The sequence below is a fragment of the Homo sapiens genome, chromosome 9 (genome assembly GCF_000001405.40).
Source record: "Homo sapiens chromosome 9, GRCh38.p14 Primary Assembly".
Lineage (NCBI taxonomy): Eukaryota > Metazoa > Chordata > Mammalia > Primates > Hominidae > Homo > Homo sapiens.
Genome location: NC_000009.12, coordinates 21,065,465 through 21,082,632, shown reverse-complemented (window position 1 = coordinate 21,082,632; position 17,168 = coordinate 21,065,465). Strand labels below are relative to the sequence as shown.

The 17,168-nt window shown below is 38.1% G+C and overlaps 1 protein-coding gene across 1 annotated transcript; it reads left to right on the top strand.

The window, feature by feature from the left end:
* Positions 1–4,690: 4,690 nt before the first annotated feature.
* On the top strand, positions 4,691–5,529 carry IFNB1 (interferon beta 1). The gene has a single exon (NM_002176.4). The coding sequence runs from the start codon at positions 4,764–4,766 to the stop codon at positions 5,325–5,327; it is 564 nt and encodes a 187-aa protein (NP_002167.1). The 5' UTR covers positions 4,691–4,763; the 3' UTR covers positions 5,328–5,529.
* The last annotated feature ends 11,639 nt before the right edge of the window (positions 5,530–17,168 follow it).

The window sequence follows — 17,168 nt, the reverse complement described above, 5'->3', positions numbered from 1 at the left end:
CTCCCTTTTATGTATTAATCTCTTATGAAAGAGTTTGTTGGCTTCCCAAGATATTTCTGAAAGATTGCTTTTGGCTTCATTTATGTTCTGCCACTGCTTATGCACCTCTCAATAACTCTTCATCTTGTATAATTTATCATTCTTTGATAGGGACCCTCTTCCTTGAAAAATAATTGAAGATATAAGGAGGAGGAAGAGAAGACAACTAAAATGTTTATTTCTAGATACATAGTAGTCCTGCATAGATAATTATATTCAAAAGAGGAGGACAAATTGGCTCCTATCTCTGAAATTTATAGAAAAGCATTTCCACATTAAAGTGATTTCAAATGACTAGAAATGTCATTCAAGTTTTACTTTCTAAATGTCACTCTGTCTCTCCAAACCTCATTAACCACAAGGAACTGGTGCAGGGACTGGAAGTAGTTTTCTCATACAACGGAAAGTTAACGAGGGGAGGAAAGGATGTGTGCAAAAATAACGTCCACAGAAGGGACAAATAACAAAGGGAAAGATGACAGGAAAGGGTTCGGGCACTAACCCTTACAATGCAGATACACACTGGGCTGGTCTAAGAAATAGGTTTCCCTGGTAGACAGAAGGTTAAATAAATTTTCCTGGTTATTCTGATACAACTCTAATAAAAGAAGAGAAATGAAGCTAAAACTTAAAATGATGTATTTAAAAGGAAGAAATTTTAACCCATTCATAGGTGAGCTTCTGCCAAGATTACTACTAATCCTCAGGAGAAGGGGTAGAGGAGAAACTCCATAAAGGCAACTGGAAGTGGAGTATTAGGAAGCACCTCAAGAACACAATAGCAGGAAGTAGCTAGAGAACAAAGAGAAGAAACCAGAAAAAAAAAATCCCTTTTTATTTTTCTGTTTCCATTCCTTTGGCTCCATTTCCACAGCTATGGCCTTTATTTTCACCCTCCACAGCCATGAGAGCCTCTGGGCAGGAGTTCTCCTCGCCTCTCCCTGTTCCAATCACCTCTAACATTTCTGCCTATTGTTCTGCCCAGGGAAAAAACTCCAGTCTCTTCTCTGTCAAAGACCTCTTGAATTAAGTCCAAATGCTACACTCTGGCATTCAAGACTCCGTAATACAGCTCAACCTGACTTTTCCACCCTCAGCCTCCTTGATTCCTAAAATGAAGCCTGTCCACAATTGAAGCTCCTTGTCTTTGCTCCTGCAAACTTGTTCATTCTCCTGGCTGTGTTTGTGCTGGTCTCTGTCTATCTAGAGCTGTGGATATCATGGTATCTATTGTCTATCATGCTAGCCATGAACCACATGTGGCTGGTGAGCATTTTATATGGTACTAGTCTAAATTGACATCTACTGTGAGTGTAAAAATGTGCATTATGTTTTGAAGACTGTACACAAAATTTAATTATCTCATGAATAATTTTAGATTGGTTATATGTTGAAATTATAATATTTTGGATATACTATGCTAAATAAAACATATTATTAAAATTAACTTCACCTGTTTCTTTTCCTCTTTCAATATGGCTACTAGAGCTTTTTAAATTGCATTATGTGACTTTATTGGACAGTACCGATTGAATGCCCTCAACCACATCACCTCACCACAGCCACCTCTACCTGTAGTGATCATACCACTTCTTTAGGCACACTGCCTGCATTAAGGGCAATGAATGCCTTTTCATCTTCTCCACTAGATGTAGTTTCTTTTTTCTTTGAGAGCCATCATCACCATCATGGTTGACACCATGAACCTATCTGAAGATGTCAGCCATAGACTGCTTGATATTCTACAGGAAAGATCACAGTTTTAAGTGCAATCTACCCATGTTATTAGCAGTGTGTATCTTTCACACATTACACAGCCTCTCTAAGCCTCATTTCTCTCCTCTGTAAGATGGGGATGATAATAACCCATCTCAAATGTTTACTATGAGGATTATTCAAAGAATGGCAAATAGCAAGTGCTTAATAAATGATAACTAGTACTACCGCCACTACTGTTGTTTTTATTGTATTAGATTATGAACTCTCTAAGGACCATTTCCGGATGGAGGATAAGAGACCATTTGATGTGGGCAGTGATGAGGCCTTCTGTTGCACCTGGAAAGGTCAACTATATACAAGCCTGCAAGTCATTCTATAGGAGCAGGCCCCAGTGACCAGACTCTATAGACTGTCTCCTCTTTCCTGAGAGGGACAGCCATCTCTAGGTTGACTAACCTCTGAAGCTCCTTGCATTGGCTTTTGTGCTATGAGCCATGGATGATTCCAGACTAATCCGAGAATGCTCGTCAAAACCCCAAGGAATTACTCAAATACTGACATAACAGACATTTTTGAGTGGAAGAGCCGAGTTTTTTTTAATATTCTGAAACTCATTGTTTTTAAAATGCATGAGATGGCCAAGGTCTTGCTAAGAGCTGGCCTGCAAAGGCCAAAAGGCCAGAGAGAATGAAACCCATAGAGAGGCAGAATAACCAGAAAGGTTGGGACTCGTTTATTTTATAATGTAAATTAGTCTATTATGAAACAATACTTGTTTACTGGTGGAAAATTGGAAAATACAAAGAATAAAAGGAGGAAAAAAATCACTCTTTAGTTTCACAAGCCAAATCAAGCCACTATTAAAATGGTGGTTTACTTCCTTTTATTAATTTTCTCTACATATTTTTGCATAATCATGTTGTATGTACAATTTTATGTTCTATTTTTCAATATTAACTGGTGTCTTTCAAATTTCCTAATGACAAAAATAATATATGCTCATAATAGAACATTTTAAATGCAAATAAAACAAAATAAATGTTAAAATTTAGTAATATTTATTAAATTTTCTCCAAGTGCACGAAATTACAAATGTAACAACCTAATTCCCTAGTGGCCTAATAACCCTATTTCCCAGACCTCTTCTCATTACAAGGAAAAACTCATATGCAGATAGTTCTAAAGGTATGAAGTGAAAAGATAAAGATTTTTCTTCCTTGCTGCATCCTCACCCCATCAGCATTATTCCCCAGGGTAACTACTATTAATAGATAGTAATTCTACCCAAAGGAAAAAATCATATGCATATAACAGCATCATATGTATACCTTTCTAGTAACTTACAAAACAAATGATAATATCATATCCTTTCTTATGTGTATTGCTCTTTTCACTAAATGTATCTGTGATATGTGTCTATATCAGCTGATTGTCCTTTTTGATGGCTGAATAATATTCCATCTTGTCCACGTGATAGTATTACTTGACAAGCTCCCTGCTGATGGACATTTGTCTTTGTTACTATGATAGTAATATAATCAACATTTATATATGTTTTGTATGTATCTATAATACACATGCACATACACATGCATATTTCTGCAGGGATAGCCATAGTAAATAACTAGTAACGGTATTGCAAGTTAAAGGAACAATCTCATTGCTTGAAATTTTAAATTTTGAAATACACTGCCAATTTTCATGGTCTCTCCTTGTAAGCTAGTTTGGGCTTTCTCACAGCATGACAGGCTCAGGGCAGTCAGACCATCCTGGCCAAAGAGCAGAGTGCCACAGACCACAACTGCTTCTAATCAGCCATCTTCCCAAAGCCTTCTCTTTTTTCTATTAATAACTTTGTATGAGATTCCATCTTAATACTTTTCTGTTGTTTGGTCTTGTAAGAGCTTATTTTTCCTGAACCAGGAAGTGGTTCAGGGCGGTTTTTCTAACTTCACAGAGCTCCCTCTTCTGTTAGCTTTTGTGAAATGGTCAAAAACATAGCAGCCTGCCTTCTGAGTTCTCCATCCCACCCTGGTTGGGCCTTCTCTATCCTTGTCTGTGTTGTTTATATCCTGCTGAAGTGTGATTCCACTTGTGGCAGTTTCTCCTCTGTGTAGGATCAAAAGGGCTGTGACTGGTTGGTTTGAAAATTTCTTATACCCTAGACTATTCCAGTGCCTTTCAGAAGTTTCCAAGGCCCTCTCACACTAATCTATTATCATATTGGGCAAAACTCCTTGCAGTTTCAGCTACTATTCCCTGATTGACTTTTCAGTAAATCTATCTCTCAGTCTTTCAGTATCCAAAGAAGATTGGTTCTAGGACCACCATCCCGCTGCCTCCACAGATACCAAAATCAGAGGATGCTCAATTCCCTCTTATAAAACGTTGCAGTATTTGCATATAATCTGCACATGTATTTCTGTATATTTTAAATCATCCCTAGATTACTTATAATACCTGATACAATATAAATGCTAAATAGCTGTAACACTGTATCTTTAAAATTTACATTATTTTTTGTTGTTGTATTATTATTTTTATTGTATTTTTAAAAAATATTTTCCATCTACAGTCAGTAGAATCCACGGATACAGAACCTATGGATAGGAAGGACCAACTGTATCTTTTAGTGTTTTGAGGTTCTTGAATTCTCAGGTCGTTTGCTTTCCTTTGCTTTCTCCCAAGTCTTGTTTTACAATTTGCTTTAGTCATTCACTGAAACTTTAAAAAACATTAGAAAACCTCACAGTTTGTAAATCTTTTTCCCTATTATATATATCATAAGATAGGAGCTTAAATAAAGAGTTTTAGAAACTACTAAAATGTAAATGACATAGGAAAACTGAAAGGGAGAAGTGAAAGTGGGAAATTCCTCTGAATAGAGAGAGGACCATCTCATATAAATAGGCCATACCCATGGAGAAAGGACATTCTAACTGCAACCTTTCGAAGCCTTTGCTCTGGCACAACAGGTAGTAGGCGACACTGTTCGTGTTGTCAACATGACCAACAAGTGTCTCCTCCAAATTGCTCTCCTGTTGTGCTTCTCCACTACAGCTCTTTCCATGAGCTACAACTTGCTTGGATTCCTACAAAGAAGCAGCAATTTTCAGTGTCAGAAGCTCCTGTGGCAATTGAATGGGAGGCTTGAATACTGCCTCAAGGACAGGATGAACTTTGACATCCCTGAGGAGATTAAGCAGCTGCAGCAGTTCCAGAAGGAGGACGCCGCATTGACCATCTATGAGATGCTCCAGAACATCTTTGCTATTTTCAGACAAGATTCATCTAGCACTGGCTGGAATGAGACTATTGTTGAGAACCTCCTGGCTAATGTCTATCATCAGATAAACCATCTGAAGACAGTCCTGGAAGAAAAACTGGAGAAAGAAGATTTCACCAGGGGAAAACTCATGAGCAGTCTGCACCTGAAAAGATATTATGGGAGGATTCTGCATTACCTGAAGGCCAAGGAGTACAGTCACTGTGCCTGGACCATAGTCAGAGTGGAAATCCTAAGGAACTTTTACTTCATTAACAGACTTACAGGTTACCTCCGAAACTGAAGATCTCCTAGCCTGTGCCTCTGGGACTGGACAATTGCTTCAAGCATTCTTCAACCAGCAGATGCTGTTTAAGTGACTGATGGCTAATGTACTGCATATGAAAGGACACTAGAAGATTTTGAAATTTTTATTAAATTATGAGTTATTTTTATTTATTTAAATTTTATTTTGGAAAATAAATTATTTTTGGTGCAAAAGTCAACATGGCAGTTTTAATTTCGATTTGATTTATATAACCATCCATATTATAAAATTGCCAAGTACCTATTAGTTGTTCTTTTTAAAATATACCTGCAAAGTAGTATACTTTCTGGCCCCTGCCTTTAAGGAATTTAAAATTCAAGAAAGCCATGTGGAATATATAAGGTAAGAGACAATAAGGGGACCTGAACCTTATGGGGGAATAAATATGGCATGAACTGCTGTGGGATTAAAAGAGAAAAGGAAAGCTGGAGGGTCTGGAACTAAACCTGGGGTTCCCATTCCTCCTACTGTGTGCTCCAGATTCTCTCATCATAAAGTTAGAATTGAGCTGGCCATCAGGAATAGCCAGAGGAATATGTCAGCTTTTGTGTTCTCCCTAACCTTCCCACGTTATTTGGGGGATACTTTGCTCCTCGAAAGATTTTTAAATAATTATGTGCCCCCCACCATCCCTGCAAGCTTAAGGGTGAGAAGTCCCATTTACTTCCATGACACTATTAAGCAGCAATCTCTTTATTCTGCTCATCATGGGACAGCCAAGATGTGTGGGTATCTTAGGGGAGCTGTGGGTCCCTGTCTGCTGGCATGGCACAGGCATCAGAGGAAGAAGAACCTTTTTATACCCTAGCCATCTGGTTAGTTTTCTCCCTAGTTTTTCAAAAAACTAAGCCTGCTTCCAGTCCCCACTGCCTTGTTCATACAGAATTCCAGGAATGTCCTGTCCAGTTTTCTGTTGCTCTGCATTGCGGACGCCACATAGTTCCTAAAGCCAAATGAAAGAGGTGCAGCAGTTTAAGTCCAGTTTCAAACCAAGCAAAAAGCCAGGAAACATAGGAGAAAGGGAAGTTTAGGTGGGATAGAGAGGGCATTAATTTTTCCCAGGGCTTACACCGGGAAAAAAATCAAGCTTTTCTAGGAGCTCTTTGGGCACCTGGTCAGCATGGACTGACTGGTTAGGTTTTTGTCTTTGTACCAAAACTCGGGAACTTGGGTTATAGTGGCTATTACTGCCATTAGCAGTTGCTGTTTACTGAGAAATTCTAATGAAATAGGCACTGTGCTGAGATCCCACATAGATAATCGGATTTAATCTTCTCCACAAGCACCCCTCAGGTAGGCACAAGTACATTATTGCCATTTTACAGGAGAGGAAACTAAATCTCAAAGAAATTTAGTAACTGCCCATGGTCACATAATGATTTCATTCAGTCTCTAGTGAATGGAGATTTTAAAAAGAAGTTCAAAGAGAAGCATCATAAAAGTCTTTATTTGTATCTAGGCATTTTTTCCTAGAGCAGTAAAGAAATCTGAATTCCTTTTAAAAGAAGCAGCTTTCAGGAGAAGTAATCTGTTCATTAAGAGTTCCAGAGAAGCTACTATTGTGTAGACAATGAACTCAGGGCTCCCCCTTCCAGTTCAAAGTGGATAACACACACACGGGCTATGCAAACAAGAAATGTCATCATGGGGGGCCTGCTGCCATTGACTCAAACCAGTCAAGCCCCCCTCAAGCTTCATCCTTCCCCCAGCTCTCCACCCCTGCTCTGCCAAAAGCCCTTCTGTAGCCGAACTCCTCTTTTTCCTGGAGTCAAGGACAAGATCAGCAAGTAGCAATGCGGAGTCCAGGCAGTGTCTAGAGCAGCCAAGAGGAAACTAAAGAAATCTCTCTCAGCAATGGGCCCCTATTGTCCACTGCTTTCTCTGAGCTGAACTGCTAAACTGGCCCAGAAACTGGCAAGTTCTTGAAAAGACCTGCTCTACCTCCGTGTTGGGGCAAGAATGACAGGAGAGAGGCCACTTCTGCAGAATTAGAAATACTGTATCACAGCTTAGCATGTCAACCCATCCAGAATGCCAAAAATAAGTCCATAACCAGTAGAAGATAAGTAACAATTAAAATTAATTCCAATAAAAATGAAGGCAACTAGCCCAAAGGTGCACATTTGCATGTGCTGAACCGATGACTAGGCATGAGGAATAAAGTAAAATAATAATATTACTTTGGCTGGCACCAGAATAAGGTCTTAAGGAAAACACTCTTTGTTTAGAAAAATATCTAATGAGTCTGTAGAAAAATATCTAATGAGGCTTCACTCAATATCTAGTGAGATTTTGAGGTTATGGGTGTGGCAACGGAAAAGACAGTAAAATATCAATAGCATGTTTTGTGTGTCAGCTTTTAAGGAGAAAGGAGACAGACAGAAATCCCCCAAAGCTCTGGAACTGTGACACTACGTGGAACAAGTCAGACAATGAAAATTTTGCTGGTGGGAATGAAAAAAGAATTTTCCAAACAGCGTAGCTCATGTGCAGCATGAAATTGTGTGCGCTGATGTATTGAAACTCTGTCCGACATCATCTCCAAAACTTCAATAAAAATGGCTACCACAAAAAGTCCTCTGCGTAAAACCTCTGTGTACAAATCATAGAAAGTGCCCGGTCTCATGTTTGAACAAACATGGGGTGGCCAGATCTTCATAGATGAACCAAATTAGAAGAAACAGGAGGCAAAACAATGACAACACAGCCACCTTCCCCCTTCCCATATCACACCTTAGGAATCCACAAAGCTGGATTAGGAGATGGAACTGTCTTATCTAGCTCTTGAACAGTAAGAAGGCACTGGTGAACATCTGGGTTACATACAAATATATGAATTTTGCTTAAATATATGAACATGCAGATGCAGGGCAATATCAGCACACATTTGTATAGTCTTTTTTGCAGTCAACAAAGGTGTTATTTAGGCATTTTAGGTGGCATTAAACACGTTCAAGTATTCAGATAACATCTGATCAGGAACTTATTCATAAAATACTCTTAAGAAAATGAAAAGAACATGCCACAGACTGGGAGAAAGTATTTGCAAATCACATATCTGATAGAAGACTCATCTCCAGAATATACTTTTTAAAATCTCTGAAAACTCAATAATAACAAAACCACTAATAAAACAATAAAATACATAATAAATAAAATAATAAAAATGGATAATATATTGGAACAGATGCTTCATCAAAGAAGACATGCAAATAGCAAATTAGTATATTAACATGGTAAAATCTTTCTCAAGGATTGTTGGTGGTGTAGGTCAGATAATGAATGTGAAATGATTTGGTCCCAGGGGAGCCCTTTCCATCATGGGGACCTGCCATAGCTTCTGTCCTTTCTGAGCAAAGTTCACCAGCCCTCTTGGCCAAGCTCTATTTCTGATGCATGAGAGGTCTGCCAAGCACAGACTGTGGGGGCCCTCATCAACATGGATTTCTTCTTGACGGGTTTGGCTGTGGGAAACACAGAGAGAGCCAGCATCTGGTAATAGAGTCAGAAGATGAATGTCACCCAGAGCCATACCTTGTTGACTGCAGACATTTTCTCTAAACACATTGCACTGGTGCTTGCTGAGCCTAAAAAATGAACTGTTTTATGAGTCCTTTTGTTCTCAACATTAATTGTTGCTTTTTAAACATTAGTTTAATTGCCTAAAATTTACTAGGATAGTTTAAGACAAACTCAAAAATTGGACTAGTAGTGCCAGCACAAAATTATACTCTCCTAATTTAGTAGGATCCATTTAACCATTTAACTCGTTAATTGACCTGATGGAGAGTACTCCAAAAACATGTTCACATCATAGTTATCACCAAATCAGACAATTATGTTTCAGTTATTATTCTGTTTTGACATTCATGTAGAGGGTGTTCCTAGAAAACCTATAACGCATTATTCAAATTATATCCCCCAACAATTAGCCTACGAATTTTTAAAAAAATGGAGCCCACTTCAAAGGACTCTCTTAAGAGGATTAAAAGACAGGTCACAGACTGAGAGAATATATTTGCAAGTCACCTCTCTGATAAAGAAGTTGTATTGATATGTAAAGAATTCTCAAGATTCAGTGATAAGAAAGCAAATAACCCACTAAAAGACAAACAGAAGATTTCAACACATATTTCAGGAAAGAAGGTACAGAGATGGCAAACAAGACAGGAAAGGACCAATAACGTTAACCTTTAATGTAATGCAAATTAAACAACAATAAGACACTGCTACATACTTATTAGAATGGCTGAAGTTAAAAGGACTCACCATATCAAGGATTGGCAAAGATGTGGAGCAACTAGAACTTTCAAAAAGTGGTCCAATGACTTTGGAAAACCATTTTTGCAGTTTTTAAAAAAGGTAATCATATACCTACCACATGATCCAACCAGTCGACTCCCTAGTACTTATCCAAGAGAAAAGAAAGGATTCTTTTCTGTGTATAAACATTCATATACACAGACTTGTATATGAATGTTTGTGGGAGCTTTGTTTGTCCATCACAAATGGATGATTAAAGAAATTGTAGTATATCCATACAATGGAATATTATTCAACAATAAAAAGGAATGAATCATTGATACACACAATAACATGGATGAATCTCCAAAAAAATTATGCTGAATACAAAAGGGCCAGGCACAGTGGCTATGCCTATAATCCCAGCACTTTGGAAGGCTGAGGCAGGCAGATCCCCTGAGGTCAGGAGTTCAAGACCAGCCTGGACAACATGGTGAAACCCCATCTCTGTAAAAATACAAAAATTAGAGGGCAGGATAGCGATTGCCTGTAATCCGAGCTATTCGGGAGGCCAAGGCGGGAGAGTCACTTGAACCCAGGAGGCGGAGGTTGTAGTGAGCGGAGATTGTACCAATGCACTCCAGCCTGGGTGACAGGGCGAGACTCCATCTCAAAAAAAAAAAGAAAAGAAAAGAGACCAAAAAGGAATAAATTTTGTATTGGCCTATTTCTATAAAACTCTAGAAAGGAAAATTAATCTATAATGACAGAAAGCAGATTAGTGGTTACCTGGGGGTGGGGGCAGTAGTACTGAGGAGTGAGATGGAGGGAGAGATTACAAAGCAACACAAAGAAACTTTTGAGAGCGCAAGGACATTTTCACTATCTTGACTGTGTTGATGGTTTCAGGGGTGTATATACATGTTAAAACTTATCACAGTGTCCACTTTAAATATGTACAGTTTATTACATGTCATTGTACTTCACTGAAACCTCTCGAAAAATAAAAAAGTATAAATTTACTGAAAAATAAATAAAATGGAGCCAAAGCATCTTGTTGTGTTCCCTTGTTAAACTCAACATACATTGTTTGATGTCTTAAGATCTCTTTTATAAGACTCCAAGATGAGATTAAATCAACAGGCTCTTAGAAATAAAAAATTATCTTACAGTCTAAGTTCATTGTCAGTTAGAGGTTAGATTGTTAAAAGTTTTTACTTATGGCACATTTGCAATACTCCATATTTTAAATGATAGTCCAAGAAGTGGATCACGATCCCTGCGTGCTAAAACTATGGGGGGAAAAGCCAAGAGCACTTCACACATTGCATATCTGCACCAAGTGCAATACAAGTTACATATTACAAATTCCAGTGCTTAAGGAAATGATTTTTCCCATTTTCATATTGTGGCAAAATATACATAAAATGTAGCATTTAAACCTTTTTTAAGTTACATTTTAAGTTCTGTAACATTAAGTACATTCATATTGTCGTGCAACCATCACCACTATTCATCTCCAGAACTCTTTCATCTTTTTCATTTGCAACTCTGAAGCCATTAAACACCAACTCTTCATTTGTCCTTCTCCAAGCCCCTGGTAACCACCATTCTACTTTCTGTCTCTATGAATTTGACTACTCTTGGTACCTCATATGACTAATTATATAAACTTTGTCCTTTCGTGACTGGCTTATTCTTCTTAGTATAATATAATGTCTTCAGGTTTCATCTATGTTGTTGCATGTTTCTGAATTTCTTTCTGTTTTAAGGCTGTGTGTGTTTGTGTGTGTGTACCACATTTAGTTTATTCATTGGTCCATTGATGCATACTTAGTGTGCTTCCTTTTTTTGGCTATTGTGAATAATGCTGCTATGAATATGGGTATACAAATATCTATTCATGTCCCAGCTTTTACTTCTTGGGCTATATACCCAGATATAAAATTGCTGAATCATGCAGTAATTCCATATTTAATTTCATGAGAAATCATCAAGGCAACTATTTTTAACTTGTGTCTTCATAATGGAAATATTTGCAATGATAGTACAATGCAAACACAACAATAACAGCTACATTTCTTAAGGACTTACTTTCTGCAAGGGATCTGCTGAGGATGAACTAGCTAGCTAGCTAGCTAGCTCGATAGATGATAGTTAGAGAGATGGATGGATGGATGGATAGATAGATAGATAGATAGATAGATAGATAGATAGATAGATAGACAGACCATCTTATTTAATCATCCAGAGAACATCTATGAGGTAAGTATTGTTCTCTCCTTTTTATACATAAGAAAACTGAGGCTCAGTAAGGTTAAGTAACTTGACCAAATCCACAGTAGGTAAAGAACAGAGACATATTTGGAACCAGGGACTATACTCTTAACTACCTGTAATCATCTACTACCACCCAAAATGCTATTTTTACCCAACTACATAGCACAAATATTGCAATTTAGAGAAGGAACAAGAAGCTCTACTGCCCGGCAGCTCATGCACAGCACAACTCCTGGTTTTGCTCCAAGTGGGTGCACTAACGTCCAGTGGCCTGTGGGGATCTTTTGCAGAAAGGACTGCTGTCCTCACTCAAGCAGTTGGTCTCCTTCCATCCCCATGCAGAAGGGAACTCTCTCTCTCTTCCTTTTTCTAAAGAGAATAGCAGGAAATTCCCATTTGCTCCTTTGCCAGACTCTACGGAGAATATTTTCTCCAAAGGTTTTTGTAAGCAACTGTCTGAATCATGAGTCATCGTTTTTCCCTTGGCAAGGCTGCATTTCCTTCTCTTGAGCACTACATTTTTATCCATGTACTAGCAAGACAGCCCTGTGTGCAGTTTCCCTCTCAAGTCTGACACAAGCTGATTTTGTTATCTCACAGGAATGCTTAAAAACTAAAATGGCTTACATTACTTAATGGAAATACACAGCAAATTTCTCTTTCCTTTCACTTTTTAATTTCTTGGCTCATTTTCTTTTTATGAAAGTCCAGAGGTAAAACAAATAACTTTCAAAGCAGAAAATGATTTACTAATCTAGAAATGCATGAATTGAAAGTCTGTGCATTGAAAGTACAAAGTTTTTTTTTTTTTTTTTTTTTTTTTTTTAAGTTTCCTATACTCTGATGGCAAAAACACAGGGCATGAAATAATACAAACCTGAGAGCTACTGTGGGTTCTGCCACTTTGTACCAGTATGGTCTTGGGCAAGTTAAATAAATTAGAAACAATCATACCCCAAACTCTTCAAGATTTCTATGAGAAATAAATGCAAAAAATGGGATGTATGACTTGGTCCAACACAGGGCCTTGTAAATACCACGGGATCTCACTTACATGTAAAATCTAAAAATGTTAATCCCATGGAAACAGAGCATGGAATGATGGTTGCCAGAGCTGGGACAGTTGGGATGGGCAGGAGAGGGCTGGGGAGATGTTGGTCAAAAAATACAAAATTACAGTTACATAGGAGGAATAAGTTCAAAGGATCTATTGTACAGCATGGTGATTGTTAATGATAATATATTGTATTCTTGAAAAATGCTAAGGGAATGGGTGTTAAGTGTTTTCACCACAAAAAATAATAACTATGTGAGATAATGCACTTGTTAGCTAGATTTAACCATTTCACAATGTATGTATAGTTCAAAACCCCATGTTGTATGCAATAAATACATGCCATTTTTATCTGTCAATTTAAAAAATAAATTAAAATAATAAAATGCCATAGAAATATTCAAGGGTTATTAAAATAACTTCTTCCATTATATTTGTTATAAGCCTTATAAATAGTTTAAAGCATGATATATTTTATATTTGGCGAACTGGCTTTAGACCAATTGGTGTCTATCAGGCATATGTGGCACCTTAGCATCTATTAAGGAAGAGTAGGCCACACAAGGGAGGAAAGCAATATTCAATACAGCTTCCTCCCCTCCAGGCTGCAACGGGATCTCTCCTAAACTCCAATATACCTTTGAGTTCCATGGATTATTTTCCTACTATAAGCCACACCCCTGAAATAATAAATGTGGTATGCATGAAAAATTCATTTTCTTTCTGTTTATCTAAATTTGTTCTTATTTCTTATGGTTTAATTGTGTTTATTAAGTCGCAAGTGCTCAACCTCCCTGGGTTATATTATAATACTTTCTGTAATAGTTGACAAGGAAGGGTTCATTTTCAAATTGCTTCATTCAAAACCCTTGACTTCATCTCAGGCTCCCATTGGCTTGGCAGGTATGTATAAAGAAGGAAGTGGGAGAGGTAAATAACCCTCCATTGCATCTACTACCTGTGTAGGACTTGTCCAGAAAAACTCCTGGCATATACTATCAATAAATGGTAGCTTTTTTTCTTCTTTGCAGGCAATTGTTACCTATTATTCTCTTGCTGAAATATAAGAGCCTCTATTTTAAAGCATCCCATCCCTATCCAAAGTAAAATTTCACAAAATCTGTAGAAATTCCCAGATAGTTCAGACAATTATCTCTGTAATTAAAAACAACACCATGACACCATGATCATGTAATTGTCTGGTCAATAAGAGCCTAACACAAAGTCCATGGGCATCTCAAATATATTCGTATAATTAGAAAATGACCTAGGCTCTTATCTTCTGACTGCATGTCCAATAAGCTTTCTCTCTTTCATTGCTCAGTTTCACAGACATTGTTGCCTGAACTCAGCCTCCCACTGGAAATCTCACTAGCTTTGGTGCCCCATACTGGACTTCTAGACTGATCTCTCTCCCTATCTCCTGGTAACCCAGCCACATAAATGCAGAAATGAAAAGGATGACAGGAACAGTGTTTCATCTGTTAGATGTCTTGTCACAGGGAACCGTTACTGGTCCCTAATAAGCCCCTGTTCCCTATTCTGTTCTTACTTCCTTATCCAGTCATTAATTGGGAATGGAAAAACACAGGCAACCCACCAGCGGAATAACTTGGGAACACTCAGACAGGGCCACAAAGCCTTCTAAAGGTTCTGAGAAGGGATTATGGCTATCAAGCTGTGGTAACTTCCAAGGAGACATCATCTTATTCAGCAGCAGCATTTTCACCAACAGTCTAAACATTCTTCTGATTTTTCCTTTTTTCCTCTCTCTCTCTCTCTTTTTGATTTGCCAGAAGTGATAAATGATAATAACCCAAAGGGAAAACAGTGGTGGAGGGAAGCAGTGAAAGAACTATTTACATTTCTGATATTTTGACCTTAATGAACTGCTCCCATCGATCAACTGGGAGAAGACTGGACCCTGTGGAACCCACTGCCTGATTGCATCTTGCTGTGATATTAAGTGGTCACCCAGCTGGTTGTGTGTGAAACACAGTTTGTCTCCAATAGAGAATAGCCTATCAACTGAACCAAAGTAGAAGGAAATACATTTTCATTCTTTCCCCCAGGTCTGACCATGCAGTAATAAGGTCTGGAGGTGCTCCAAAACGATGATCTTCAACTAGTTGCAATATTATTTCCCTCCTGGCCAAACAGTTAACCCAGAAGCACACTAGTCATAATGCCCTCTGCATGGATTATATCTTTCTCAATACAGCATTTGAATTTCAAAAATATATATATACTTGTCAAAGTGCACATTAGAGATCTGGGGATTGATAACTTAAATAATTTGCTTTAACTGGTGAGTAAATAGCAGAGGCAAGGTTCTAAGATATGCAAAACTTTAATTGGCTCAGGCAATGGTACTATTTAGTAACTTTTTATTTATTAAGTGGAAAGACTGTATTTAGGAGACATTCACATGAGTGACAATTGAGAAATTCTTAATTTTCTGTATATTTATTTACACACTATTCATTCTACACATGTGAGTTGGACAGCTTATAACATTCAAGGCATTAGAGCCACAAGGCCTGCCCTCAGGGAGCTCAGTCCTATTGCAGAAGATGAGCAGTTAAAGGCAAGATAAGTATGTTCACAGAGGTTTTAGAGAGCTATTGAAGCAGAGAATGAAGATAAGTCCTTCTTGACGCCCAGGACTGGGTTCCCTAGCTGGCAAAGCAGACAATCACAAATATCAACCTGCTTTACCCGTAGTGATGAGCCTGCCTTCTCTCCCTCAGCTTTCATTATTTTCACCAAATAATCCACATGCCCTCAAAGAAAAGAGGATTTCAGCTGCCACCCTCAGGACCCTTTCAGCTGAAAGTGATGGAAACTCAACTCCAACCACAATATGTAAAAATGGGATCTATTGCAAGAATAGAATTGCTCATAGCATCAAAGCAATTGTTGCAGGAAGGGCAGCTCAGGGGTCTCAGAAACAGGAATTGGAGATTTTCCTCTATCAGAAATCTTTTCTCCCCTCCTTTCTTTATACTTCTCCCTGAGGAGGCAGGGGGACTGGGCCACTCAGGAATCACACCCTTATTGCTCCGTGATTAGAGAAGAGAGAAAGAGTATTTTACATATATTATTGCTAACCCTTGAGTTGCTATAAGATAGCATTTTCATTGTGTTTGAAAGGAGGAAAGCAAGTAGTAGAGAATTAAGGAATCTGCTTCAAGTTCAGGGATCAGTGAAGAGCAGGGGAAGTATTCAAGGACAGGCTGGTCTTTCTGATTCCACAACTAACTAATTGCACCACACCACCTATCAACATTTGTTGAATGAATGAATACTTGAATACATAACTCATAGATCTGAATGAAAGGTAAACCCTTTTCAAATCCCCCTTGGTTCCACCAGAGGCAATCTTCATCTTCATCTAACCTACTGGCTGCCAATACTTTCATTATACTATACACAATCCCCCCAAACTAAGACAGTTCCAGCCAAAAATAAAAAAAATTCTGAAGCCTCTGATTGTTCTGGTTTTGATGGGTAGAGACTTTCTGCTTCCAGGAATCATCAAGGGCTCCTCAAGAGGAAATGCACCATGAGAGATGGAAGAATCTGGACTGGCAGCTGAGTACCATGCAAGAAGAGCAAAAGCATCTTCCAGGCACTTCATGTGACCGACAATATATCTCTCTTGATCCAATCACCCTCATTTTTGGAATCTGCTTTGAAAATAATGGATAAATGTGAACATACACTTGAAAACTCCAGCAATGGAAGTCCAGGTCTGTAGTAGCACAGGGCCACAATAGCTAACAAAGATCGTTGTGGTGTGGGGCATCCTGCTATCCATGCTTTGGGAGAAACACTGGCTTTTTAGAGCATCTGAGCTATATGACAGAATGAAAGTACCCCAGAGGAAAGGGGAAAATATTCTAGGTCATGTGAAGCTTGAGCCAATTAAGTATACAAAAGAGATGTGATATTCCTAGTTCAAGATGGCAAATAATCTCTCTTTAACCTCTTCCTCGTTCCAGCATCTCTTTGAATATAACAGTAAACACATAATTAAAGAGTGGAATCAGTCATAAGATATTGTCTAATGAAGATAAAACAAGAAACAAGAGATTTAAGTGTATCATTATACTCACATGTATTCCTACAGTGTATTATTTTATTATACTTATAAAGTTATCAGTGAAGAACCAATGAAGAATGAAAATAATATAACTATTTCTGTTAGGAATGCATTCAGCTACAGCTAACAAACAGCC